The following is a 26,543-nucleotide window of genomic DNA, read 5'->3' as shown; positions in this document are numbered from 1 at the left end:
TCTGGGAGGTCACGCCTCCACTACTTGGCCTTCCTTCGGAGGCTCTTACTGGTTTCCACTGGAGAATAAGCTGTGGAAGCACTCTAGTTAATGGTAAGTAGAGAAGGAAGATGGCTGTGGAATGCAGAATATAGGAGTTTGTGTACTCTAATCCCACTGTAATAAACTGTGTTTCTGAAGTTGAGACTCAATTGAGATTACGATTATGCATGTAAATAGTGCATGAAATAACCAACATGACTATATTTAGATATTGGTTATGAATCGAGTCAGACATTTTCAGCAGGAGAAGAGAGCAAGACCTCCTGCAGAGAAAATCTCTGAATGCTGCTGTCCTTTAAACACACGTAGCCTTTCTGACAGGAGGCAAAGTGCCAGCCTCATTGCTTTGGTTTCAGCCACACTGAGCAGAAAGGGTCAGTCTGACTGCTTGCTGAGATTTTTCTCTTCTTTGCTCCATAGTTTCATTGATTTATTTTCTCTCCATCTGTGTTATATATATATATCATTTTTAAATTTTTTGTTTGAGACAGTCTTGTTCTGTCGCCCAGGCTGGAGTACAGTGGCATGATCTTGGCTCACTGCAGCCTCTGCCTCCTGGTTCAAGTGATTCTCGTGTCTCAGCTTCCTGAGTAGCTGGGACTACAGGCGCACACCACCATGCCTCACTAATTTTTGTATTTTTAGTAGAGACAGGGTTTCACCATGTTGGCCAGGTTGGTCTCAAACTCCTGGCGTGAAGTGATCTGCATGCCTGGACCTCTCAAAGTGCTGGGATTACAGGCGTGAGCCACTATGCCCAGCCCTGCTGAGTTTTAGAGCTACAGCTCCTCTGTAGTTGTTTTTTTTTTTTTTTTTTTTTGAGACAGTCTCACTTTGTCACTCAGGCTGGAGTGCATTGGCGCGATCTCGGCTCACTGCAAGCTCCGCCTCCTGGGTTCACGCCATTCTCCTGCCTTGGCCTCCCAAGTAGCTGGGACTACAGGCGCCCACCACCATGCCCAGCTAATTTTTTGTATTTTTAGTAGAGACAGGTTTTCACTGTGTTAGCCAGGATGGTCTCGATTTCCTGACCTCGTGATCTGCCCAGCTCGGCCTCCCAAAGTGCTGGGATTACAGGCGTGAGCCACTGCGCCCAGCCTGTAGTTGTTTTTTGTGGGGAATAGAACAAAATGGAACTAGAAAACTTGAGGCCTTTCAATCACAACCATGCTACATTTTATCTGAACACAGGAGAACCTGATAGTTCCCCCCAGCTCTCTACCTCATTGCTGCAAAGGTGGGATGGCTGCCCAGGGGTGTAGGAGCAGGAATCACAGCTTTAAAAAATATTTTATATTGATACACACTAATTGTACATGTTGATGAAGTACATTTGATATTTGATAGTTGCACACAATGTGTAATGATCAAATCAAGGTAATTGGGATATTCCTCACCTCAAACATTGATCATGTTTTTGTGTTGGGAACATTGCAAATCTTCTAGCTATTTTGCAATATACACTCAATTATTTACTACAGTCACCCTACTGTGCCATCAAACACTAGAACTTATTCCTTCTATCTACCTGTATGTTTGTACTCATTAATCAGTCTCTCTTCATCCCCACTCCCCACTACCCTTTCCAGCCTCTGGTAACCACCCTTCTACTCTCTACCGCCATTAGATCAACTGACAGCTTTTGTTTTTACTGCAAGGTCTTGTTCCACCTTCTTCCCACGGGTCCAGGCAGTTGTTCTTCTAGTCTACACTGTCTCTTGTAGCTTGTTTGTCATCTGGAGGGAATAGGTTGGAAATCTTGTATTTGGGTATCTATTCTCATACAGGGAGGAAATACAGGCAATTAGGTTAAAGTCATAGGCACCATGTAGAGGGCTGGGCTGGAAGGAAGTCAAGCTCTAAGTGTTGACTGTGTGGGAGGAGCTGTGAACATGAGGATGTGAACCTGAGTAAGACGGATCTCTACCCAAAGGGTAAGGAGTTTGGGGGACATGGTGAGTCCTGTGAAATAGGCCAGCAGAGTTTGCACAGAGTAGGGGCCCGGAGCCCACTGCTTGAGGTTGTGAGGGGCAGAGAAGGTCTCTAGACCAGAGACAATGGGGGTGCACTGCATGCATGCACAGGGAGGTAAGGTTGCACAGAACCCCGAGTCTGCAGCTCAGTAACTAAGGCCTCGTACGAAAACGGTGGCTTCATTCATTCCAAATCCCCTTGTGTGGTCTCTTCCTTGCCGTGACTGCCACTTGCTGTTGCTGCCTTGCCTGTTTCTTGTTCCCAACCTCATGACTTTTGCTTCCTTGTGCTTTCTAGGCCTTATGGCTTCTGCTCTCTGTCTCTTCTTTTGAAGTCCTTCTGCCTACTTGCTGCTGTCCTGGCTGCTTCAGCTGCTGCAGACTGTGACAGGCTCTCCCACAATCCAGCTTCTGAGAGAGGATCTGATTGGACTTGAATGGTTGCTGCACAGTTTAGAGTTTCCCTCCGAGGCAGAGTTTTCTTGTCCCGACTTGTCAGAGGCCACTGGCCCGCTCTTGGTTGATTCAGTTGCTGTACCTCAACATTGGATGAGTTGAGGGAGGCAAGACCCCTGTTAGCCGATGGTGACCTTTGAATAGGGAATTGCCTGCGGCGAGCCCTTTCCTCAGAGAAAGGCTGTGGGCCGTGGTCAAGGAGAGACGTTGGTCTGTGCTGCACAGGTGTGCCTACAAGTCTGAGCTGAACTGCTCCGCTCTATAAAGGGAAGAAGATTCAACTTTCTGGGGAAGTCCTGCAGAGGCAAAGAGGCTGGGTGCAGGGTTGGAGAAGGCAGGCAAAGAGACAGCCTCCTGATCATGGATAACTGGGAGGGCTTGGGGAATGTGCATTGTGGATTTTATTCCTTTCCTTCTTGCCTGCCTTTCTTTTTTTTCTTTCTTCTTTTCTTTCTTTTTCTTTCTTCTTTTCTTTCTTTTCTTTTTTTTTTTTTTTTTTTTTGAGATGGAGTCTCAGTCTGTCATCTAGGCTGGAGTTCAGTGGTATGATCACAGCTCACTGCAGCCTCAAACTCCCAAACTCAAGCAATCTTCCTGCCTCAACCTCCTGGGTAGCTGGGACTACAGATGAGCACCACCATGCTCACTAATTTTTAATTATTTTTTAGGACCTGATCTCACTATGTTGCCCAGACAGGCCTCAAACTCCTGGGCTCAAGTGATCCTCCCACCTCAGCTGAGACTACAGGCATGAGCCATGGTGCCCAGCCCATAGATTCTTGATTTCTGCATGATGTCAGTCTTTCCTCTTGTTCCCTTCTCTGTAGCACTTGTTAGTTATTTTGTGACAGTGACGTTGAATACAGTAGGGAGCCAATAGGACACAGCCCAGAAGCAGTATGTGAAGGTGTGGAATCCAGAAGCAGAGGGCATCAGGGGAGGGTAAGGCCCTTCAGTTGGCTGAAATTACAAGAAAGAATTTGGACGTTCAGAGGCCTAGAATTGGGTGTTTGTGTCAAGATCACCCACGTGTCCAACAGACAGGGAGATCCTGTTTACCTATAGGGGTCATAGACAACACAGTGTCCAGGTGTAGAGCAGGGTCAGACACACATGTGGATGAAATGAGAACTCGGGAGACCGGAGTGGAGGAGAGTAAGCTCGTGCCACCACAGTGGACAGTCAGGCAGAGCCCGAGGGCTCCAGAGCTGCTGAAGTGTGGAGTTGGGGACTTTCGTATAGGGATGGCTTTGCCAGTGGGTGCAAGGCATCCCTTAGGGACACTGCTATGAAAGGGAAAAGAGAAGCAGGAATGATGGAGAGAGAACCAGGCACCCAATTTTGACACACCCCAGTTCTCCCTAATGGAGCTGGCTGGAAGGTGTGACAAAATGCCTAAGAAATGCTCTCCAAACCCACTCTCCTGCCTTTCTCTCTTTTCCAGATCAGTGTCTCCACTTCCCTGTTCCCTTGGGCCCTCTGTGAAAGGTAGACTGATCCTCGGTGAAGGCTTTGTTAAACCCAGCCTCAATGCATGCCCTGAAAATGAATGAACGAACACTAAGGAAGGAGGCTGCAGAGGGGATTTTTCGAGACTGCATCAGTGTTGGTCACCTGCCTCCTTTTGGCTATAATAGGAGTCATGCAGCTTAAAAACCCTGACTGCTGATTTGAAAATTTACCTCATGCAGTGATTGATAATAGAAGCTTTCAGAAATGAATAAAAAAAGAGGGGGAGGGGATGGCAAGTGAGTGCTGGGGAAACATATGTGGATAAATGTTCAGATGTTGCAAACGAGGATGATTAAAACTTGAACCATTCATCTTCACCCAGTGGTGTTCGGATGTCCAAATTTGCCATGTCTGTGTTATAGGTAGGGAAACAGAGGCACAGGGAAGGGAAAGAGGCTGGCAAGCTCTCAAGTTCATCTTGGTATCATTTTTTAGGAGGGGTACAATGACCAGGTCACCTCTGGTGGCTTATTTTGAACCAACCATTTGCAGAAAAGTGAAGCCCGATCCTTCTCATGCGTTGTCTTCTACAATTGCAGTAGCCATCTGACAGATAATAGAATAATAGGAAGATGTTGCCTTGGACAATGGGCCAGCCAAAGAGCTGAATGAGAGACACTAAAATAAATAAATAAATATTCTAAAAAAGGCATTTTGACAGAAAAATTCTCCAAAGAGGGGAGGCATTCTCTTGTCTTTTCCTATCCACCTTTGCAGCAGGGTATCTTTTCCCCCTCACTTGGAGTCTTTCATCAGCTTTGGGCCCTTTCCTAGCTCCTCTGCTCTTTTAGAGACTTTTTTTTCAGGGGCCATGTAGTGGTTTAGATTTTAATGGAAGTATGTTAGGTGGGGCCTGGCTTCCATTATGCTGAGCTCAGGCCTAGTGATGTGATCTGTCCTCTTCACTGTTGTCAGGGAAGAAAAGAAGGAAGGGAGGAAGAAAAGGAAGAGAGGAAGGAAGGAAGGAAGGAGGGGAGGAAGGAAGGAAGGAAGGAAAGAAGGAAGGAAGGGAGGGAGGAAGGGAGGGAGTTAAATTAAGTTTAGCCCTAAAGCTATCTCCCTACATATTTTAAGTTCAGCCTAAAGGTTTCTCTGTACACAGTAAATGGTCACCCACCTGGACATGTAAACAGACTGTAATCTATTATTGTGCCAATCACCAAATTTTGGCCAATCACAGGGGGCCAACTGTTCAAGCCCTGTTCAAGTAAGGCAAACACCAGATTGTGACCAATCCAGCTGTTTCTGTACCTCACTTCTGTTTCCTGTCCATCACTCTCCTTTTACTGTCCATGAGTCTTCCACCATGTGGCTATGCTGGAGCCCCTCTCAACCTATTCTGGTTCAAGGGCTGCCTGATCCACGAATCATTATTTGCTCAATTAAACTCGGTTAAATTTTATTTGTCTAAGGTGTATCTTTTAACAGAGGGAGAGAAGAAGGAACTTATAGCAACTATCACGATGACAGTCGTATCATGCGTTCTTAGAAAAACAACCCTGAGGGTCGGCAATGGCTTTAGTATACTGAAGGGAATTTATAGTCGAAAACAATTAGTTTTAAAATGCAGCTGCACAGTCAAAACACTTGAAGAACTTAAAAACAATACTGGTGCCTGAGCCGCATTCCCAGAGAGCCTGGGGTGGAGACTGGACATCAGCACTTTTAAAGTCTCCCCTGGAGGCTGCAAAGCGCAGCCAGGGTTGAGAATCACTGTTCTAGATGGATCCCTCCTCGCATCCAGGAACAGCTGTTTGGAATAGAATCTTTGGATGGTGGAGTTTTTCACATGGTGAAAGGGTTGGGAACTTGTGTGGGAGAAGGCTCTGGAAGCAGAAGAACAATGGGAAGAGCTTTGATATCATCCAAGGTGGTCGTGGAGAGACTTGGCTGAAAGGTCCTTCACACCAACCTGGGGATGGGGAGATTTGATTTCATACTCGGGGTTCAGGAAGCAGAGAATTTTCTGCTCTCTACAGTTGAGAGCAGCCTGGGAGGACATCCAGCCTCTTCTACTCCCCTGCTGTGTTTTCTAGGCTTTGTAATCTGCCGTTTGGTTTCCTGGAGTGACCTACCGCCTAGGAAGGGAGCGCCCTGGACAGGCAGCTGGTCTCAGTTCTCCGGCCAGGAATACAGGAGAACCTTACATAACCCTGCAATTGAGCTCTTGGAAAGGAATGGCTGCCTGATGCAAAAATGCTTAATGAGAGGTGAACAATTAATGGAGGATGGGGCTCTGTTCCCAGGCCAACTAGGAGTGAGTGGTGACGGGTGCACAGGGTCTCGGAGTCACCCTGGGGCTGTGCTCATTCCTGACTCATCAGCAGCTCACTCACGACAGGCACATGCTGATGTCTCCATAGTTTGTCCCCAGGCAAGCATTCTGTTTCTATCTTGGTCTTGCCCTGCACACTCAGTTTTGGTATTTTAAAGGATTTGCTAATAATGTTCCTTTAGAATCGTTTTGTGGATCTGTCTTTCCCTTCCTTCTTTCCTTTGTGAGGGTTGTCTGGCATCTTTTTTTTACTCCCTGGCTGGTTATTCACAAACCAGAGGAACAGTCCTCATGTACATCAAACTTACCTCTCAACTCTCCAGGTGCTAAACCTTCTCATGGAGAAGAACAAACTTGACTGCTAGCCCATTCTGCAGCAGAATTCTGAGAGCTAGGGCAGGCTCTGTTACAGGTCAGGAGAATTGGCCTGATTAGAAACCATTTGAGGTAGGGAATGGGGGCTCACACCTGAATCCCAGCACTTTGGGACACTGAGGCCAGGAGTTGGAGACCAGCCTGGTCAATACATGAGACCCTGTCTCTACAAAAAAAAAAAAAAAAAAAAAAAAAAAAAAAATTTTTAGTACTCCGAATAAATGTATCTGTAAAAGGAAAGCCACAGTAATTCAGAGTCATGGTTTATATACCTATTTCACATAAGATGCCACTGTATCTTCTCCTACAATTAATAAGTTGTCTTTTTAGTACAATTCAGGTCTCTTTGCTTTTGGGTCTTAGAAGCCTAATTTTCTAGGCTCTGGCTATCTTTGACTACTAATAATATCATAAAACTATGATAATGATAATAACTCTTATTTATAAGAGTTGATATCAGGCACTGGTGTAAGGGCTTTCCTTACGTTACTGAATCTAATCCGTACATAAGATCAGTGTAGTCAGCATGATTAGTATCATCTCTAGGTTACACATGAGGGAATCAGGGCTTAGAACATCTGAGAAAATCCAGTGACGATAGAGTTTGAATTCAAATTGACATCATTCTGATTCCAGAGCTGATTCTTAGCCATGTCATATTCTAAGTGACGTTGAGATGACACGCATGATCTCATTCAATCATGTGGCTTTAAAATCCATCTATATGATGGGTGAGCCTCAAATTTATATCTCTAACTTAAACCCTCCCCAGGCTTGGGGATGCAACTGCCTGCTGTCATTGTCAGTCCAATTTCTTTCTTTCTTTTTTTTGAGATGGAGTCCCACTCTGTCACCCAGGCTGGAGTGTAGTGGCACGATCTTGGCTCACTGCAACCTCTGCCTCCTGGGCTCAAGCAATTCTTCCACCTCAGCCTCCTGAGTAGCTGGGACTACAGGTGTCTGCCACACCCAGATAATTTTTGTATTTTTAATAGAGGTGGGGTTTCACCATGTTGGCCAGGCTGGACTCAAACTCCTGACTTCAGGTGACCCACCCGCCTCAGCCTCCCAAAGTGCTGGGATTACAGGCGCCCAGCCCCTCAGTTGAATTTCTAACAGGCACCTCACACCTAAGCTGACCTAACAAGCTTGTTCTTGCCCCCTTGCTCTCCCTGCTCCCTCAGTAAATTTGTCTCCATTCAGTTACTCAGGCCTCGATGAAGGAGTCACCCTTGACTCCTCTCTTTCACAGCTCACATGGACACCATCAGCAAATCCAGTGGGATGCCTGTATTCAGAATCCATCCACTCCTTCCCTCCTCCACTGTTGCTGCTCCTCTACTGTCTGTTTTCAACACAGATGTCAGAGTGAGTCAGCTTTTGTCACTTCCTTGCTCAAAATCTTATCTCATTCAGAGAGTTCCAGTTAGTAAGTTATCATCTTTCAGCTCCAAAGCCTTCCTTCAATACTTGATTCTATGCTGGGCCCCTGAACACTGCATTTCTCCTTTGTTGGGCTCCTTGTTGCACTCAGCCAGTAGGGGTTGCTAGAGAGGCTCCTACTCTTTCCCATGGGTATCCTGTCTGCCTGTGGCTCCTGTGTGCAGCACCCCAGTACTGCTGCTTCATCTTGGCAGCAGCAGTTTCTTCCTGTAGCAGCTGTTCAATCTACGTTGCAATTTTTCCTACACTCAAGAACCAGACTCATTGTGCCTTTTTAGGGCCACAGCACTGACTGCCATTGCCCCATCTTTGAGGTTTGGGTTCTAGCCCCATGGGACTGTTTTCTAAGCTTCTAAATTTTAATTATCCGACAGCCCCCTTTTTCTTCTGCCAGCCCCAGGGGTGGAGCTTCCTGAAGTTGTTATACGAAAGACACCTTAGAGTTGTCTTTTTACTCTTTCAGTTACCTGGTTAAGACTTTATTCCTAGAAAATTATTCTTTATATTAAATTAGCCGTGTTAAAATAACTGGTGTGGCTTCTGTCTCCTGGTTAGGCCCTGACTGATGTGCTGAGTTAAAGGTGAAGTCCTTAAAATGGTTTGCAAGGTTGCAAGCGATCTGGCTTCCGGCCACCTCTCCTGTCTTAGCTCCTTCCACTGTCACCGTCATTCCTCGCTCCTTTTGGCCCCTTGCTGTTCTGTAAACACACCAATCCCTCTCCTGCCTCACAGTCTTGGCCCTTTCTGATCCCTTTGCCTGAAAAACCCTGCCCTGCAATTCTACATGGCCTCTCTTTCCCCTGCTTGGGTCTTCCTGAGATGTTACCTCTTCAGTGAGACCTTCCCTGACCGCACCACATAATCCACATCCCCCACTCCCCCCACCCCTGCCTGGATGATTTCTGTCCTTCTTAATCTGCCTTGCTTTTTCCATAGCACCTATCACCATCTGATAGTCTGTTTATTCATACTTGATTATTTGTTAATTCCTGTGTCCCCCTAACTAGCAAATAAACACCCCAACAAGGCAGAACTTTTCCTACTTTAGTGATTGCTACATCCCAGACTTTATAACAGTGTCTGGCGCATATAAATGCTTGAAAAGTATTTGTTGAGTGAATAGTAAAATTGAAGTTCTGGACTGTCAGGATTAAGACTGTCCTAGGCCCGGTGCTAGAGGGAGAATCCTAAAGAGGACGCTGGCCTTAGAGGAAAATGGTAATCATGCTTCCCACACCACATGTCAGGGAGAGCAGATGGCAGTGTCAGCTCACAGTTCGCATGAGTTTGGGGTGTACTTTTGAAGACTGAGTAATGTCTTTTCTCTCCCTTCTCCAAATTGCTATTGTTAGACCTGAAAAAGCCTGTAATAAAATTTGGAAGCTACTGAGTTTATGACATCTCAACTTTACCCTCCATTTCCACCCCAAATGGCTTTTGAACTGACACTGAATTGCTGCCTTATTAAATACCATCCTGAGAACTTTACAGAACATTTTAAGTGATGCCGAGCTCCCATGAGCTTCAATCATAATGGAAGAGCCTGGGACCGTTGGTTGTCAGCTTTTTCTTGTCATCTACATGGGGACTGTCTGTGAGGGTGTGTCTGCTGGGTGAAGTGCCACACCTCGCTTCCGAGACGGGGCCTAGCTCGCTAATCCAAGAGGGCTAGCAACATTTGCAAACCAGGAAGAGGCAAGAGAGGACTTTCTTAACAGTAGCAGTTACTGGAGACCTAACTTCTGAGGGTTGCAGGTTGAATTGTCCCTAATTCCTGGGGATGACAGGTTCCACTCTGCCCTGCCAGATTATGGGGACGCTCCCTGAATTACAGTGGCAGCTGTTGGGTTCCACTGCTGCGACTCATCTCTTCAGTCTTGTTGGCCTTGGATCTCAGCCACCCGAGTTTCAGAAGGTGGTAAGCTGGCCAGTGTTCTTGGCCCCAGAACACGGTTGTGATTGGTGCCATGTTAAATGCGAGTAGCAATTATGGCTGCCGATTTGAAAGGAGGCTGAACACGCTGGCTTTCATCGGGTCACCTTTGCTTGGCCACATGAGACTTTCCACTTAGGAAAATGAGGGCTGAATTCTTGATCCAGACAGGCTCTTTCAAGGTGTTGCGTTTCTGCTCTCAGATAAGACAACCCTGTGAAGTTGGGTGCTTTCTGCACTGTCACTGAACTTGGTGCCCTGTGAAAGGAGATTCTCTCTCTTTTTTTTTTTTTGAGATGGAGTCTTGCTCTGTTGCCCAGGCTGGAGTGCAGTGACGCGATCTCGGCTCATGCAACCTCTGCCTCCCAGGTTCAAGTGATTCTCCTGCCTCAGCCTCCCGAGTAGCTGGGGCTACAGGCATGTGCCACCATGCCTGGCTAATTTTTTGTATTTTTAGTAGAGACAGGGTTTCACTATGTTGGCCAGGCTGGTCTCGAACTCCTGACCTCATGATCCGCCCGCCTCAGCCACGTAAAGTGCTGGGATTACAGGTGTGAGCCACCATGCCCGGCTGAAAGGAGATTCTTAAATACACAAAATCCTTCACTCCAAGGGTTTAGATTTTTTGCTCAGTTTTAGCTGCAGACTTTGCTCAGTTTAGAGCTACTAGGGCTTTAGTTTACTGTGCCATATTTGAAACTAAAAGTCTGAATTATGCTTTATTTTTTGCATGTGTTATAGATAGCACGTAATGAATAAGCACCCTCAGAATACCTAGCACCATGTTAGGGAAACACAACGCTGAGGCCTTGGTCGTTGTCCTCAGGAAACTCTCACTGTATTTACGGTCCAAAAGGAGGTCCAATAAAACAAGACTATATATAAGCATTAAAATATCTATAGAAAGTCAGAGGAGAAACAGGTAGTTGTGGATCTGTGTTTGTTGGAGAAGGCTTGATTGGAATGTGAGGTGGCCTTGAGGAAAGAGTGCAGATTTCGATTAATTGGGAGAAGGAGAAAGGCCGGTAAGGCCAGGGGGGCTTGAACAAGGTTTGGTGGCAAGAATCTGTGTAGTATCCATGGTGCTCTGCAAGTGGATGAGCCCTCTCCAAGGGAATCATTAGGAGGGAGATGAGCAGATGGGAAGGACAAAGCATTGGAGGACACCCAATTGGGTTGGGTAGACAGGATATGTGCATAGAAAGAGATGAGCCAGACTGTTGTTTGTGCAATTTAAAATATGAAGAGAAGAAAAGGGAAAAAAAAAAGATAAGGGATATTTGGCAATGTACCTTCAAAGCCAAATGAAGGTTGCCAATAAGAAGTGCTTCAGGACCTCAGCAGAGGAAGGAAACACCCAGGGCAGGATTTGTAGAGGATTGTTGAGGGGGAATAGGTCTTAAGACAAGGGAAAGGAAGGGGGAGAGGCAGGAGAAAGGGATGCATGCAGATAAAGGGGGCCTCAGAGCAAAGTTGACTCTAGAAGGGCTCTGGCTATTCGGTGAAGGAGGAGAAGGGTATTATTCAACCAGGAATGGGGCTGAAGACAAGGTGAGAAGGTCTTTAACTGTTGTTCTGGGGAAGGAGTCAGGGAGTGGATGAAGGACAAATACCAGGTTACTAAGTACCTGTCAGGGCCAAGCTGTATTTGGATGGCAGAAGCCACTGGTGGGCCAGGTCTAGGGGTCACAAGCCCTTCTCTAGGTGTGTTTGTAATTCAAGCAGCCAGGATTGGGTGTAGGTGGGGCTGGCTCAAAGAGGGCCTGGGAAGATGAAGTCTTGGTTGCTGATGAAGGCAGCATTTATACAGCTGAATACAAGGTCTGCCAGACTTCAGAGAGGATTCTTGGGAAATTGGAGGAGACCTGCTGTGTTAGGTGTGGAGGTGGAGCTGGTCTCATGCTGATGAAGTCCTGGGAAGACCTTGATTGGCCAACACAGAAATGAGCTGAGGAAAAGAAATAAGGGAAGTTGGAAGGAGAGTATTTGTGAAGAAAGCAGAATATTAAGTATTTTCTTTGATACTTCTTTATATACAGGAAGCTAGGTTGTCAGCAGTAGCAAGAATAACATGACAATGATGAGATAGCTAACTTAGAAGATCTTGGAACAAACCATTTTCCAAATACCTCTGGGTTTTCTTTGTTCTCTATCCAAACTCATTTTATTAAACACCCTTTGTTAATATTCTGATAGATTTTATAGAGGTCAAAAGAGCAGGGATTAGGCTTCGTTTGGAAACTCAGCTCCCTCATTTCCTAACTCATTAAATGAGTCCAAGTAGGAAACAAGTGCAGATATATTTGGAAGATATTAAAGAGACCTTGGGCAAATTACCTAATCTTTCACCCTTGGTTTTCTCATATGATGACAGTGCCTTTCTGATGGAGCCGTTATGAAGGTAAACATTAGGTTCCAACGCATGGGAACTACAGTTGTGTTAAAATGAGAATTTCCCAGGAGTTCGTGTGTTTCATTGTGAGGTGCTATTCAGCTCTGTCTATTTCCCTCACATCTGTCCTTTCTCTTTCTCATCCCCCACTCACTTAGTAAACATGTCTGCTTGGACCAATGATTGGGAGTATGGCGTGCTGAGCCCTGGTAACGGGAAGTAAGCCAGCATTTTCAACAAGTTGCTAATTATACCACTTTTAAACACAATAAGAGAAGAAGGAATGAACCCCATGAGCTGGGGCCACTTGGCAAGTCCCGATGGTCTTCTTAGGCCAGTCAGGATGTTTCTTAGACTCACATCAGCCTTGATGACGATCTCCTCCCACATCGACTGAGTCAGGGGTCGCTGTGTGCTGAGTAATGCAGTCCTTTGCTGGGCGGGAAGTGGGCAGCACTCTGAAGGGACATGAGAGTGGATGACGGTGAAGCTGTGGGAAACTGCGGGGGAGCTGCACACGCCTGATGCCTGTGTCAGAGCCACGCAGTCTCTGAGTCGTGTTCCCAAGCACAACTCACATCTGTGAAGTACATCAGGGAAAATTAAATAAGTCCAAGTAGGAAACAAGTTCAGATATATTTGGAAGATATTAAAAAAAGGAAAAAAAAAATCTCCAAAAGGCCTGATCTCACCTTTCACTTTTTATAGACAACATTTTCCTTCTCTGGTTACATCTTTTCTTGAGGTGTATTAGCAACACTTTGTTCATTTGACAGCCATGATATTTCTTCTTTAGTATTGTATGTAGGGTGAAGTTCAAGTTCCTAGTTGCTCGACAAGTTCCAGTTCCTTGGCATAGGGCATAGAGGTCTGGCCAGGACTTTGTTTTCTCTAATTCAATTTGTCTAAAACACAAGAAAAGACTTTGTGGGCTGAGGCCGAGAAGTCGTGCTTCATATTTGCTTGAATCTTTTGGCCTTACTTCACTGGCAGAGTCTGTGAAAGAACACAGGTTTACTTAAAAAATAATCTTAACTTAAGCCTTTCCATTGTGTGAATTTGACAAAGAAACTCGCCTTATCTGGGTTGTCCCCCATTTCTTTGCTTCTATGAGGAACCCTGGAGACTTCCTGACTTTAAAAAGCAACCAAAAATGAATGTTAAGTTTTGGCATGTAAAAGTTCTTTGGTATACATTTTGCCAGACACGGATGTTGCAAAACTGTTTACTGAGGTATAATTTTGGTGCTTCTATGTAGGAAGGGGAGGAAAAGGGTTATTTATTAAAAGTTCTATATAGGCATCTCTTGCTATTTGACCTCTTGCCATCCAAAGTCTTTCCCTCAGAACTCAGGAGGCAAGTGGATTCAGATAAACTCAGCACTTTCTGAAATTTCAATTTTTGTTTTCTGAAACTCAGGAGCCAAATAGATTTTTTCCTCTCCAAACCCATTACCCAAACACTCACCATCAGAACTTAGGAATCAACTAAGTTTGGATAACAAGACATACTTTTCCCTTCTTCCTGTTTATTAGAACCCACTCATTGCTTGTAGAATATTAGGAAAAGTACAGAAAAGAGTAAAGGTAACAAAAATGACTCATTGTCAGAGGTATAATTCCAAACACTAATTTTCTGGTAATGGTTTATGTCAGGGAGTGAGGAATATACTCCCTTTGTCTCTTCCACATCCTCTTCACCCTCCCCAACTCAGAAACATTCAGAATCCATGGAAATTTCAAAAAAGTAGTTGGTCAGTAGCCATGAATGTTGGTTGGGTTGCCTGTTTCTGTCTGGCCAGCATGTACTGTCTGCATTGAGGGCTTTGTGTTGCCAGCCTTCTGCACTTGAATTTGGATTCGGCCACCAAGCCTTCTCTTGGTGGCCAGCTTCCTGCAGGTCTTCCCAGGCACTGGGGGATAGTCTGCTAGCATGGTTTTTCAGGGTGACATTTGAAGCCACAGGATCTGTGAAAATGTTGTGATCGATCGTTGACAGTGTCTCATCTCCCTACTGATAGACAAGGATAAAAATGCCTGGTTGAAATACTGCTTGAAAATCTAAGCATAAGGAAGGTCAGAAATGAAAATGATGTAGAACTGATGGCACACGTTGACTTAAAAAAAAAAAACACGCATTTTCCTTCAAGTTCTCAAAAAATAAGCACCACTGCTATCTGGTGTCCGACTGAGTGTGGGAGGAAAACAAAGGCAGATGCAGTTGATTAAGTCCAAGGCTTCTTTATGCAACACTGCCATGGCCAGTTTCCCTACTGCACTTATTTTCTCTAAATAAGCTTCCTCAGTTTCTTCTTCACTGCTTCTTGGGGATGCAGCCACAAGGAAAGAGGCAGGGAATGGAGACTCCAGTCAAATGTGAGGTAATGTAGCTGGGGTGCAAAGGCAGCTCTCAATCCAATATGTCTGCCTGCTTCCTGCTTCTGACCACAAATGTTCATCCCGGCTATGATTCTCTCCAAAGCAGCTCTGTTTGCAAACATTTCTCTCATCTGGCATTTTGCAAATGGCATCAATTCTGACAGTTGCTTCGTTCCTGGCTAAGGCTCAGGTCATCATTTGGTATCTAGAAGGGAATTCGAAAACGTTGCCTCTTCAGAGCTGATGAACCTTCTGGGCAAGGAGGGCAGATAGCGCCCACATGTGAAGAAGAGGCAGCTCCCTCCAGTCAGATGTGGCTCTGCTCAAGGCCGAAAGAGGACTTGGCTTCAGATCCTACTTGTGCCCTTTTGCAGTTTATGGACTGCACAGTCATACAGGGCAGACCAGTTAGGGTAACTGAGCACTTGAAAGAAGACATTCTGGATGAAATTCTGGTGGTGCATAGACACCTATCTTGCATGGAGCTCTGAGCACCCTGCTGCACTCTCATGATTCCTCTGTACTCAGAGCAGAATGTTGGCATCATAGACAAGCAAACAGAAGCCCAACGAGAGAAATTACTTACCTGGAAGACCATGTACATCAGCGGCCCTGCCAAGACCAGATCCCTGGTCCTTTAACTGTTCTATAAATCGCCAGTAGAACTTGACTGAAATTTAATTTAGTTTTCAACCCTTGGCAAACCGGATACCGCGTGTTTGTGTAGGCTCATGCCATTTAAAAGGTTCTTGGAGTTTAGGTCTTGCATGTAATTTGCTACATTAGCTCTGGGCAAAAATATTTGCTTTTTGGTCCTTTGTGGTTTAAGTTCCTTCTCAGCATTGACCTGGCATGTTAGAGAGAGCTGCACTGTGGAACGCAGCAGGGGGTGGAGAGTTTAGGGAGAGTGAGTGCAGTAATGCTTATTAGTGATGGCAGCTTTTCAGACTGTGGGAGCTCACATGAGATTTTCCCAGTTAGGTTGTTTGTTTATGTATTTGGATTATGACACAAGTCAGATTAGAAAGCTGATGCAGATCAAACGAAGCCTTTTAGATTTGGATTAAGCTTGGGAAATTTTCTCTCCTAAGATATTAGATTAAGAGTATCATGATGATTTTGTCATTGTTGTTCAAAGTGACAGTCATACTATTGTAATTGTTCCAACACCTCCAAGTTTGGCCGTCTTTGGCGTGAATAGACCCAGGATGGGTTATTTCAATCAAAAATTCGGGGGCTGGGCATGGTGTCTCACACCTGTAATCCCAGCACTTTGGGAGGCCGAGGCAGGCAGACCACGGTTTGAGACCAGCCTGACCAACATGGTGAAACCCTGTCTCTCTTAAAAACACAAAAATTAGCTAGGTGTGGTGGCGCGTGTCTGTAATCCCAGCTACTAGGGAGGCTGAGGCAGGAGAACTGCTTGAGCTCGGGAGGCAGAGGTTGCAGTGAGCCAAGATCACACCACGGCACTCCAGCCTGGGCAGTGGAGCAAGACTCCATCTTGAAAGAGTGGCTGTCTTCTTGGATTCTCTAGGTTAATCATTTCAACATTAGAGAATGGATCGCCTACTAATTATATCGAATCACTATATATTCTTTTGGGATGATAAATAAGAGGCAGATATTATGCTCCCATTTTACAAGAGAGACGACTGAGGCACAGGAAAAGGAAGTAACTGGTTGAGTCATATGACAAATCTCGAAGCAGTACCATTCTGGGGATAGCCTATGAGGATAAATTCTGCACCTATACTAATTTTCAGCAGTGTACTCTCTCTCTCTCTCTCTTGCTCTCTCTTTCTCTCTCGCTCTTTAATACTAAGGCTAATACTTTTGTCTTGGAAGACTGTGAAGCTCTTTTTTCCCTGTCCTGCTCCATTGCCAGCCTCTTAGTTGAATTTTCAATCCTAGTGTACATGCACTGGAATGACACTTTATGGGAGGTTTAGTTTCTAAAGTCAGCATGGAAGGTAAGAATCTATTATATTTTTAAAAATTCACTCTTAAAAAGTGAATTCACTTTTTAAGTGAATCTATTTTTAAGAATCTATTATATTTTTAAAAATTCACTCTTAAAAAGCTGCCCATTTTGTGCAGCTTGCATAGTTTACTCTATTGTTATACACAAAAACATACCATAGTTAAGACTATGTAAGGAGTATGTAATTTTCCAGTGCCATATCCTTAAACATTAGTATCTCGGCAAGAGGCTCTGAGAGATAAGCAGGAACAAAAATTGATTCAGGGCAGAATAGATTCACATCTCACATCTCCTGCTCACTCCGGTACATTTGCTCACTAAGTGAAATGGTTGGTAGAATCGCCACGTAACTGGAAAATTTCTTCCCTCTCCTCTCTCTCCTTACACTGACCCTGTGTGCTTCTCTCTCTCTATTTTTCTCTCTGTAATAGACGTACTTAAATTTGTGTAAGTTAAATATGCATGTGGTGTCGTTTTACTGTATGTTTCACAAATGACAGCTGTAAGTCAATGAATATCATTGTGAAATATAAGAAAAGGAAAAGAAAAAAGGAAGCTTGTTTTTCAGCACTCAGCAGGAAAACACACTGTTGGACTTTATGTTTCTTTTGGAATATGGGTTTACTGTTAAAGCTAAATTAATAGTTTACATGGTAAGCCAATAAGATCAATGTCCTTTTGGAAAAACAAGGCTAATATTCTAGTCTGGGATGCACTAAGCCGGAAAAGCATGAGTTACAAGTAAGTTTAACACATTAAAAAGCATCTTGGGGAGAATTCTTGAATTTACACAACTAAGTATATATAACAGAGTCTTTACATCTAAACCCCATTTTATCAGGCCAGGCCATTTGTCAGCACATCTCTTCTTAGTTACCCCCAAGGCATCCATACTTTACAGCAAGGAGTGATGGCAACAGCTGGGGGCGGGAACTTCAAAGAAGTACCAGACCCGTAGGCCCCATGTGGTGGCTCACGCCTGTAATCCCAGCACTTTGGGAGGCCGAGGCAGGTGGATCACTTGAGGTCAGGAGTTCGAGACCAGCTTGGCCAACGTGGTGAAACCCCATCTCTACTGAAAATACAAAAATTAGCCTGGCGTGGTGGCACATGTCTATAATCCCAGCTACTTGGGAGGCTGAGGCAGGAGAATTGCTGGAACCTGGGAGGCGGAGGTTGTGGTGAGGCAAGATTGCCCCAATGCACTCCAGCTGGGGTGTCAAAGTGAGACTTTGTCTCAAAAAAAAAAAAAAATCCCATTCTGGAAAAAAATCCTCTCTGAAGCTACCATCAACACCATCTGGGTTGGTTAGTTGTTTATTTTCTCTCTGAGCTTTTTCTGATTTCCCCTGCTATTTTTTACTTCATGATGCTAACCCCTATAGACCCTATTCCCAAACGATCTTGCCAGGGGTTTTACAGCTGGGTTTGGCCAAGAGAGTCATAGGAAGGTAGGAGAATGGGAGAAGCCAAGGTATTTATCCCTCTTGTTTCCTGCTTGGGAGAGTGTATTTGTGGGTAGCTGAGTCTCATCTGTTCTAGCTGTTATGGAACAATCCCTCCTGCTGGACCAGCCCGGATGTGGGCATGGGTAACATCACCTCCTTCCTTTATTTCCTCAGTCCTAGAAGGGGTTGTGACTTTTTGACATTGTCAATCTATGGGCTGCCTTACAATCTCATTTGGGTTTTGTGTGTGTTTAAAAAATTAAAATTGACAATAAAAATCATATGTATTTATGGCATACAACATAATGTTTTAGTATTTGTATGCATTGTGGAATGGCTAAATCAAGCTAATTAACATATGCATTACCTCACACACTTATCTTTTTTTGATACCTTTGCTGCAAGAGCCCCATATTAAATTTTCTTGGTTGAGCTAGCTGATGTGGACTATGTTTTGTTGTTGTTGCTGTTTGTCATGTTCCAGCCTCCATTGTGGATCTTGTTCTTGGCCTGATGGGTTTTTCCCTAGGTCTGACCTCACATTTAACCAACCCTTTGCTCCTCATGTACATCCTTCTATTGTTTCCTGGACTCAACCTTGATGCTTGGATCCCACTTGTTCTCTCAGTGGCTTTGATGCTTCAGCTCCCTCCTGCAAACTTTTGTCTCTGTGCGTGTGTGCGAGTCCATTTTGCGTCACTATAAAGGAATACCTGAAACTGAGTAGCTTATAAATAAAAGAGGTTTAATTGGCTCATGGTTCTGCAAACTGTACTGGAAGCATTGTGCTGGCATCTGCTTGACTTCTAGTGAGGCTTCAGGAGGCTTTCAATCATGGTGGAAGGTAAAAAGGAGCAGGTGTGTCATGTGATGGGAGTGGGAGCAAGAGAGAGAGAGGGGAGGTGCCACACTCTTTTAAATAATCAATTCTCATGTGAACTCAGAGCGAGAACTCACTCATCACCAAGGGTATAGCACTAAGCCATTCATAAGCAATCCGCCCCCATGATTCAATACCTCCCACTAGGCCCTACCTCCCACATTGGAGGTCACATTTCAACTTGAGATTTGGAGGGGACAAACATCCAAACCATATCAGGGAGTAAGAAATTGTCTGACATATGAGATACTGGATTTTACAAACACAAGAGTCCTTAGATATTTGACCCAACTTCCTATTTTCATCCATGAGGTTGCTGCTGCTTAGAATGGGTAATGACTTCCTCAAGATTGCCAAGTTAATGGCAGGGAGGGAAAAGGAAAGGAAGTTTCATGTCTAGGTAAACGTCATATCACTTTATTTACTGTAACATGTGACAGGGATTGGGGACACGAAGATTGAGATATTGATTACCCTATGACCCTCCTCATTGCCTGTCCTTTGCCTTTGAGCAAACGTTTTGCACTGAGTGGACAGAAATATTAATTCATTCAACTCATATTTATTGATTGTCACAAAGGGCAAGGCTCTATGCTGAACACTTTGGAAAGGACACATATGAATAGAAAATGATCCACATCCTCAGGAAACTCTCTAGAAAGGAGTACAGCCTATAGGCCAGTGATTCATATGTATGTTGCATATGTTACATACAAAAGAGAAAACAATAAGCTCCACAGAAAGTAAGCAAATAAAGTGTTATTTGCATGTGGAGGAGAAAGTTGCTTCTGGCTTGGCAGTATTAGAGAAGACATAATAGAGCAGGTAGTATTTAAAATGGACAGGGGCTGGGAACGCTGGCTCACTTCTGTAATTCTAGCACTTTAGGAGGCTGAGGCAGGTGGATTGCCTGAGCTTAGGAGTTCGAGACCACCCTGGGCAACATGGTGAAACCCCATCTCTACAAAAATACAAAAATTAACCAGGCATGGTGGCATATGCCTGTAGTCCCAGTTACTTGGGAGGCTGAAGTGGGAGAATTGCTTGAACCCGGGAGGCAGAGGTTGCAGTGAGCCGAGAGGACAGGGCTGGGTACAGTGGCTCTGGTGTGTAATCTCAGCACTTTGGGAGGCTGAGGCAGGAGGATTACTTGGGTCCAGGAGTTCAAGACCAGCCTGGGGAACATAGTGAGACATCGACTCTACAAAAAATAAACCAAATTAGCTGGGTGTGGTGGCGTGTGCCTGTATCCCCATTTACTTGGGAGGCAGAGGTGGGATGATAGCTTGAGCTCAGGAAGTCAAGGCTGCAGTGAACCAAGATCGTGCCACTGCATTCCAGCCTGGGTGACAGAGCAAGACCCTGTCTAAATAAATAAATAAATAGATAAATAAATAAATAAGATGGACAGGAAAGCACAAATAGTATTTGACCATGTATAGCTGAGAGAAAGGTGTTCAGGATGAGTGATCGAAAGCAGGTAAGGGGACAGTGAGGGCTTCAATGGAGCTGGAAAGCTGACTACCTGAAGGTGAATGACAATAATAATAATAATAATAATAGCAATAGCAATCATAGCTGACATTTAGTGGGCTCCTATCACATACCTGAGCACTGTGCCAAGTGCTTTACATGCTTTGTTTTGGTCTATAGATGGGTATTGTTATTTCTATTTTGCAAATGAGGAAACTGAAGTTCAGAAAGATTATAACTTTCCAAAGTCATCCAGCTAGCAAATGGTAGAGCAGATTCCACACAGGTCTGCTTGATTCTAGATATACTGTTAACTGCTAAGCCAAATGGATGGGTTATCAAGAAAGGCAAGGGATTTATATATAGATCTAAAGGCATGAATAGCAAATGTAGTGTTGAGTTGTTTTTTTGTTTGTTTGTTTTTGAGATGGAGTCTCGCTCTGTTGCCCAGGCTGGAGTGCAGTGGTGTGATCTCAGCTCACTGCGACCTGCGCCTCCCAGGTTCAAGAGATTCTCATGCCTTGGCCTCCCCTAGTAGCTAGGACTACAGGCGCACACCACCATGCCCAGCTAATTTTTGTATTTTTAGTAGAGACAGGGTTTCACTATTTTGGCCAGGCTGGTCTCAGACTCCTGACCTCAAGTGATCCGTCCGCCTCAGCCTCCCAAAGTGCTGGGATTACAGGCGTGAGCCACTGCTCCCAGCCAGCACCGAGTTCTTAGAAAAGTCATTAGGAAAAATTTAAAGACTCAGATTCCTGAAAAAAGATTTCTGCTACTACATCCTCCATAGAGAAGAAACCTAGAAACTGTTTTGATCCAACATCTTAGGACTTTTTTTTTTAGCATATATTTTTTTAAATTTAATTTTATTTATTTATTTATTTATTTATTTTGCATATTGTCTTAATATAATGAATGAAGATAAAATAAAAATATTTTAGAAATGTTATTTTTATTAACAATTCAAAAAGCCATTTATATTATTTTTATCATTAAGCTTAGTAAAGTTTTGTAAACCCTTGATTGGATATCACATGACTTTAAGCATAGAAACATTGTAGGTGATTGCTTTCAAGTTCTGTATGCTTCTCTTTTGATGTCTTGCTAATTGATGATTTCATACCGTCACTAGTTTATATCTCAGGTCACAGTAGATACTTATTGCAAGGTTCATTATTAACTATTGTGAGTATAAGTCCTTATTTTAAATATGTTTGTTTATTTATTTATTTATTTATTTATTTATTTTTTGAGACAGGATCTGCTCTGTTGCCCAGTCTGGAGTGCAGTGATGCAATCTCAGCTCACTGCAACCTCTGCCTCCTGGGTTCAAAGGATTCTCATGCCTCAGCCTCCCGAGTAGATGGGATTACAGGCATGTGCCATCATACCTGGCTAATTTTATATAAGTTTTTTTTCTTTAATTAGAGGGTTTTTTTATTGGCTGACGTTTGGCAAGTAAAATCTTCAGTGTTTTTTATCTTTTCTTCCCTTTTTAACATGAGCGATAAAGAGTTTGTCTGAGTGTGAGAGAAGTGTTGGTCTTGTCATTTTCTCGTTGTTTGCTGGGGTTTGTAGTACTTGCAGTATTTTGGACCTGTGGTTTCTTTCTATGAATCTTTTTTTTTTTTTTTTTTTTTTGAGACAGAGTTTCACTCTTGTTGCCCAGGCTGGAGTGCAATGGCATGATCTTGGCTCACTGAAACCTCCGCCTCCCAAGTTCAAGCTATTCTCCTGCCTCAGCCTCCCAAGTAGCTGGAATTACAGGTGCCCACCATGACACCCAACTAATTTTTTTTTTTGTATTCTTAATAGAGACGGGGTTTCACCATGTTGGCCAGGCTGGTCTTGAACTCCTGACCTCAGCTGATCCGCCTGCCTCAGCCTCCCAAAGTGCTGGGATTACAGGCGTGAGCCACCATGCCTGGCCTCTGTGACTTTTTTACAGTTTTTTTTTTTTTTTAATGATTTGAAAGTTAATTTAGTTAAAATTACGTGTTGCAATGCATATGGCCACTTACCTAGGCACAAGTAAATAGCAAAGTACTGAGAGCAAACACAGGGTTGAAAGTAAATAATCCCTTCCAACCTTACCATGTTCTGGAACACTGGAAGATTCCCACTTTGCTCAGGAAACCTCATCTATCTTAAGTATTGCAGATTGAGTGAAAACTCCAGGCTAATCTGGATATAAGACATTGGTTAAGCTTAATTTATTTTTAAAATAAAAACATATAATGACAGCCCTATGGTCTAAATTCCTGCAGGCTTCTACTCTGTTGAATCATCGTAACTGTATACCTTGTATATGTTTCTCCATGTGACTTAGGCTTCTGGTGAACCATGTGAAAGAAAGGAACGAAAGTATTTAGGTAACGTAATTTTCCCTAGAAAAATTTGAGGTGTAACTCATTATACCTGAAAAAATTCTCCCGGAGTTCCTTTGGGTATGTCTAACTAAATGCTGCTAAGAAGATGTGTTTCACATGTATAAATATTCATTATTTCTATATATTAGGGTTGAAGAACTCAAACATTTACAGGAAATTAAATCCTATTTTCATTAAAATTCCCCTGTTCAGAATCCTTAAAGTAGACAGCCCTGACATTTAAATTGGAATCCACTCTTTTCTTCATTCTGTTGACCAAAGTAATACTGGGAAAATATGGGAATTATCTGTTTACCAAAGTGATACCTATATCCTATATGCTAAACCAAACTCAGAAGCCTAGTGGATGAAATATCTACCTCCTGTGCTGAGGCCACCAGGTTCAATTCCTGCTGGGATGGTAGTTTTTTCAATTAAATTTCCATTAACTTTTCACCTCTGTGTCATTAGACACTAATTCTTAACGTGCTGCAAAGATGAAAGAGTAAAAGGAAATATCTGATTCATGCATCATGTTGCTGACAAGTGAAATGTGAGGATGACAACTTTTTAATGTGGGAGATATAGGGAAGCCAGCAAGGGGACAGGTCTTTTAGACCTGACACTGACCACGGCTGAGGAGTCGTGGCAGCTGCAGCACAGGAAGGCAATTTGGAAGATAGCGATCGTGCAGTGGAAGCACTCAGGATTCTAAATGCTGGGATGCAAGAAGGAGCTGGGCAGACACAGCAGGCTTCAGGAAGCCTGAAACACCGGATGGCACGTTGGTAGGGAGAGGAGGTGGAGGGGTGCTGGCTATTTGGAACAAGCTGTTATGAATGGGGAAGGAAAAGCCATTTTCACCAAAGGAAAGAAAAACTGGGAATTCTTAGGTGACCTAAAGACAAAACAACAATATGTAAAATATGTGGAAAGGCAAGTGGCTCAGAGGTGCAAAAGAACAGTTCATGCATTGAAACATGGAAATGGCTGGGCGTGGTGGCTCACGCCTGTAATCCCGGCACTTTGGGAGGCTGAGGCGGGTGGATCACCTGAGGTCAGGAGTTCAAGACCAGCCTGACCAACATGGTGAAACCCCGTCTCTACTAAAAATACAAAAATTAGCTGGGCTTGGTGGCAGGCACCTGTAATCCCAACTACTCGAGAGGCTGAGGCAGGAGAATCGCTTGAACCTGGGAAGGGGAGGTTGTAGTGAGCTGAGATCAAGCCATTGCACTCCAGCCTGGGCAACAGAGCGTGACTCCACCTCAAAAACAAAACAAAACAAGACAAACAAGAAACATGGAAATGGTAACAATTCCCATTGTTTCCAGATGAAGACTCCCAGAAACAGACATAGGCTACAATTTTGCAAGTCAAGTAAGGATGAAAAGGCAAAAACCAAGCAAACAAAATGCAAAACATATGTTTACTAATTGGTGGTGTGGAGAAATACTAACAGTTGATGCTGAAGAAGGCTTGCTTGAGAGGTCTTTTAACAAAGAGCCTGTATTCTTTCAAGGTTTCATGAAAATAAGGGTAAATGGTTTTCAGAGTTCTGTTTCACAAATCTTAACCAAATGAGCATAGACACAGAACTTAAAAAATAGAGGCAGAAGAGATTAAGGACAACTCATTCACTAGGGGGTTGCTTGGGTTTACCTTTGGGGCATCTAAAGGATTGGATGATGAAATTAAAAAATAATTCCATGTTTTACTTGATAATATAAAGTAAAATATAAATGATTGTATACATATAAACACATACATATATGCAGAATGGACTTTTAAATACCCATAATAATGCCTAATATTTATCAAGTGGTTAGTGCTCCATGTACTATTTTCAACACTGTCCATTTACTCTTTTAAATAGTGTACATCTTAGTTATTTATCACAATTACTTTATTAGGGAGGTTCTCTATTTCCTCCCATTTCACAGATGAGAAAACTAAGGCACAGAAATGCAAGTCCAGGTTGATAGCATTGGTACATGGTAGAGGTAGGCTTGAGGACAAGGCATTTCGACTCTAGAGCCTGCTACTCTATTAAATAGCAGTTCATAATTCAAAAAAATTACATCTGGAACAGGTTCAACATTCATATTTGAATATAGCTTTGCCTGAGGTTCTGGGAATATTTACTTCAAAGTTAAAACTGAAATAAAATAAAAAGGCAAAATCAATTCAGGAGGAGCTATTTCTTATTTTAATGCTGGAAAGAAACCACATCACTTGTTAGCAGGATGCAAAACATCAGTTTAAAATAAAATAGGCTCATCTCGGCAAGGTTTCTTTCTGCTTCATTCTTGACCTTTGCTAGTGCCCAAACCCTTGCCCCGTGCTTGTCTGTCTGTGCTGGAGTCTACTTTGGAGTCAGCCTTGTTACTTCCATCTGCGCTCTGATAGTTAGAACGTGCCTCAGGCCTTCAGTCTGTACATGGGTTTGCCTTAGCTTCTCCTGTGTAGGTGCCAACATCACATCGAAACCTGGCCCCAGTAAGCTGTTCTGTTAGTTCAGAATGCCTTTGGCCCCAAGCAACAGAAAATCCAGCCCACAGTAGCTTAAACAAATAAGGGTTTATTTTTCTCCTGTAGGGAGAAGTTTGGAGCGAGGCAGCAGCTGGTATTGGTTTATCTGTTCAATGTTATTAGAGTTGGAGTCTTTGCAGTGCTCTTGGCCCTTCCCTCCTGTTTGCAATATGGCAGTCGCAGCTCCAAACGTTCAAGGCAGGCAGTGCGGGGAACAGGCAGCACCAGCCATGTCTGTTTCCTTTATCATGAAAGCAAATCTTAAAAGACCCAATACCCTTCCCTTTCCCTCTCTCCCCTCCAGGGACTTGGGTAAGACTGGGTTATGACTGGCTGTAAAGCAAGCGGGAAGAATGTCTTTGCAAGACAAGTGGAGATGGGTGTGGAATAGCCAAACTATGGAGTTTACCCTAACATCTCAGTAGACTTTCTAATTCAAGAAACAGTCTGAATTATAGAATTGTGTAATAGATAATCAGATAACTTTCAAGTTCATGCTATAAATTAAATTGGGCTAAATCGTGTCTTTTTCTTTTGTAAATTTTTACAATATTGAGTTTGATCTCTTAAATATTTGGCTCTAAAATCTTATTTAAAATATTTCTTTACACTGTCAGAAAGAAATGACTTCTTAAGAAAGGGTAAACTTAAATTCAGATCCTGTCTAAATGATCTCAAATTCCAAAATGTTGGATTTCAAACTAGTGAGATTTTACTAAACTCCACTTGTTTGAATAATGTTTACTTCTGCATCTATGCTCACTTAAATGAGATTTACAGAACAGAACTCAAATAAAATTACCTTGTTCGTGAAAGTTTTTAAAAGGTAGCATTACTACTCTTGTTTCATTTTGACTCACTAGCGCACATTCTTGGTAATATAAAATTATATATTTTATATTAGGGTAGTCACCCTAACTGGACTTGGGTTTGAATCCAGGCTCAAAAATGATGGATATAGAATATAATATATTTATATTATATATAATTTATATATAATGTATATATATTATATATAATTTATATATAATGTATATATATTATATATAATTATAATATATAATATATTATATAT

The 26,543-nt window shown here is 43.3% G+C and overlaps 1 long non-coding RNA gene across 2 annotated transcripts in view, besides 2 other annotated features; it reads left to right on the top strand.

The window, feature by feature from the left end:
* Positions 1,785-1,844: an enhancer, noted in NCBI's record as "active region_24054". NCBI's record gives its function as "activates an Ori minimal core promoter by ATAC-STARR-seq in GM12878 lymphoblastoid cells {active_cell/tissue: GM12878}" and the evidence as "EXISTENCE:reporter gene assay evidence [ECO:0000049][PMID:35858748]".
* Positions 1,931-26,543, top strand: part of LOC101928354 (uncharacterized) — a 131,186-nt gene continuing 106,573 nt past the window's right edge. For both annotated transcript variants that reach the window (XR_241980.4, XR_001743992.2), the window contains exon 1: positions 1,931-1,976. This is a non-coding gene — a long non-coding RNA (uncharacterized LOC101928354). The remainder of the gene's footprint in view (positions 1,977-26,543) is intronic.
* Positions 12,323-13,522: an enhancer, noted in NCBI's record as "P300/CBP strongly-dependent group 1 enhancer chr6:14706129-14707328 (GRCh37/hg19 assembly coordinates)". NCBI's record gives its function as "activates an origin of replication core promoter dependent on BRD2, BRD4, P300/CBP, MED14 and CDK7 cofactors, with strong dependence on P300/CBP, by STARR-seq in HCT116 cells {active_cell/tissue: HCT116}" and the evidence as "EXISTENCE:reporter gene assay evidence [ECO:0000049][PMID:35650434]".

Source organism: Homo sapiens, chromosome 6 (assembly GCF_000001405.40).
Source record: "Homo sapiens chromosome 6, GRCh38.p14 Primary Assembly".
Classification (NCBI taxonomy): Eukaryota; Metazoa; Chordata; class Mammalia; order Primates; family Hominidae; genus Homo; species Homo sapiens.
This window is presented reverse-complemented; position numbering and strand designations above follow the sequence as displayed.